Below are 3,024 nucleotides of genomic sequence, written 5' to 3' on the forward strand. Positions count from 1 at the left end.
AACTCCCGCTATTCTGAAGGTTTCAGCAACAGCCTGCTTGTATGTCCCATGGAAGGCTGGATCCCACCACTGTCCAGGTAAACAAAAATGAAGGTCTCATTTTGTTTGCATCCTCCTGACATGCCCAGGACCCCAAGCCTGCCAGTGCTTACAGTGCCCCATTTATATAATTGCTTTCAACTCTAAGATTAGATCATAACAATTCCATCTCCATCCTACTTACTCCCTGATATCTGTTTTCCTGATGAATATGGAGCATTGAGAATTCTAAGCCCTTTATCTCAATATTTTCTCTTTGTATTCTTTTCCTTGCTATATTCACTGTATATGTGAATCCACAGTGCAATGTTCAGGCTTGCCTGGCAAGTCTCTTTTTCAATTAAACATTTAATTTTCAGGCCAGGCATGGTGGCTCATGCCTATAATCCCAGCACTTTGGGAGGCTGAGGCAGGCGAATCACTTGAGGTCAGGAGTTTGAGACCAGCCTGGCCAACATGGCAAAACCCAATCTCTATTAAAAGTACAATAATTAAGGCTGCGGCAGGCAGATCATTTGAGGTCAGGAGTTCCAGACCAGCCTGGCCAACATGGTGAAACCCCGTCTCTACTAAAAATACCAAAATTAGCCAGGCGTGTTGGCGGGCGCCTGTAATCCCAGCTACTCGAGAGACTGAGGCAGCAGAATCGCTTGAACCTGGGAGACATAGGTTGCAATGAGCTGAGATCGCACCACTGCACTCTGGCCAGGGTGACAAGAGCGAAACTCCCTCTCAAAAAAAAAATTAATAAATAAATACAATAATTAGCCGGGTGTGGTGGCACACACCTGTAATCCCAGCTACTTGGGAGGCTGAGGCATGAGAATCACTTGAACCCAGGAGGCAGAGGTTGCAGTGAGCTGAGATTGCACCACTGCACTCCAGCTTGGACAATGGAGTGAGACTCTCTCAAAAACTAATAATAAAATTTAAAAATTTGAAGTAATTGTAAATTTACATGTAGTTGTAAGAAATAATAGAAAGACTGCCGGGCATGGTGGCTTACACCTGTAATCCCAGCACTTTGGGAGGTCAAGGCGGGTGGATCACCTGAGGTCAGGAGTTCGAGACTAGCCTGGCCAACATGGTGAAACTCCGTCTCTACTAAAACTACAAACGTTAGCCAGGCGTAGTGGCACATTCCTGTAATCCCAGCTACTTGGGAGGCTGAGGCAGGAGAATCGCTTGAACCCGGGAGGCAGAGGTTGCAGTGAGCCAAGATTACCTCACTGAACTCCAGAGCAAGACTTTGTCTCAAAAAAAAAAAAAAAAGAAAGAAAGAAAGAAGAAGAAATAAGACAAAGATAACTCTGTACTGTTTACCAAATTTCTCCCAAGGGTGACATCTTGCAAAGCTTCAGTAAAATGTCACAACCTGGTATTGACATTGACGAGTCAAGACACAGAACAGATCCCTTGCCGCAGGATTCCTCATGTGACCCTTTTGTTGCCACACCCTTTCCCTTCCCCCAAGCAACACCTCCTCACCCTCTGGAATCCAATACTTTCCTCTGTGTCTATCATTTTGTCATTTCAGGAATGTTGTATTCACAGACACATACATTCCTTTTGTGATTGGCTTTTTTCACTCATAATTCTCCAACATACATCCAGGTAGTTTTGAGAGTTTCTTCCTTTTTATGACTGGCTACCATTCCATAGTAGGGATGCACCACAGTTAGTTGAACTATTCACCCACTGGAGGACATCTGGATTGTTCCTGGTTTGGGCTGTTATGAATAAAGCTACTATAAACTTTCATGTACAGATTTTTTGTGTCTTCATGTCACTGGGGAAAATGAGCAAGAGTGCAATTAATGGACATACGATAATGGCATGTTTCCAGAAAAAAAAAGAAAAAAAACTGTGAAAATGCTTTCCAGACTGGCTGAACCATTTTACATTCCACTAGTTATCTCTGAATGTTCCAGAATCTCCACAACATCACCAAAATTTAGTGGTGTCACAATTTTTTTATTACTATTTTTAGACAGAGTCTCGCTCTGTTGCCCAGGCTGGAGTGCAGTGGTGTGATCTTGGCTCACTGCAACCCCCGCCTCCCAGGTTCAAGCAATTCTCTTGCCTCAGCCTCCCGAGTGGCTAGGGCTACAGGCACGCACCACTATGCCCGGCTAATTTTTTTTTTTTTTTTTTTTTAGTAGAGATGGGGTTTCACCATGTTGGCCAGGCTGGTCTCGAGCTCCTGACCTCAAGTGATCCACCCGCCTTGGCTTCCCAAAGTGCTGGGATTACAGGAATGAGCCACTGCAACCGGCAACAATTTTTTATTTTAGCTTTTCTGATAGATGTGTAAGGATATCTCATTGTAGTTTTAATTAGCATTTTCCTAATGACTAATAATGTCGGACATCTTTACATGTGCTTATTTTCTGTATGTGTGTTGTCAGGCCTGAGGGCCTCTTCCGTCATTGTCAAGGGAAATGCTAACCTTCTCTCCTTTCATACAACACATATGTGCTTGTTTTCCTTCTATGGATCCTCCTCAGTGAAATGTCTCTTCATGTCTCTTTCCAGTTTCCTGCTCAGCCTGTTTGTTTTTTATTGTTGATTTTTGAGAGTTCTTTACATGTTTAGGTAGTGCTCCTTTGGTGGATACATGATCTGCAAATATCTTCTCCCAGTCTGTGGCTTGTCTTTTGCTCTTCTTAACAAGGTCATTCACAGAGCAAAACCTTTTATTCTTGATGAAGTCCAAATTATCTATTTGTCCTTTTATGGACTGTCCTTTTAGTGTCTGTTCTATATCTCTGAATAGCCCTAGATTCAGAAAATGTCCTTCCATTATTTTTTCCGTAAGTTGTGTAGCTTTACATTTCAGTCTGTAACCCCTTTTTTATTAACTTATAAGGTATGAGATTTACGTCAAAGTTTTGTGGGGTTTTTTCAACTTTTATTTTAGTTTCAAGGGATATGCATGCAGGTTTGCTACTGGATTTACTGTATAGGTTTGGGGTACACATGGTC

At 42.6% G+C, this 3,024-nt stretch overlaps 1 pseudogene; it reads right to left on the reverse strand.

Moving 5' to 3' along the window:
* Positions 1–2,393: 2,393 nt before the first annotated feature.
* LOC124900456 (uncharacterized) lies at positions 2,394–2,510 on the reverse strand (annotated as a pseudogene).
* Between the last annotated feature and the right edge of the window lie 514 nt (positions 2,511–3,024).

This window comes from Homo sapiens, chromosome 1 (assembly GCF_000001405.40).
Source record: "Homo sapiens chromosome 1, GRCh38.p14 Primary Assembly".
Lineage (NCBI taxonomy): Eukaryota > Metazoa > Chordata > Mammalia > Primates > Hominidae > Homo > Homo sapiens.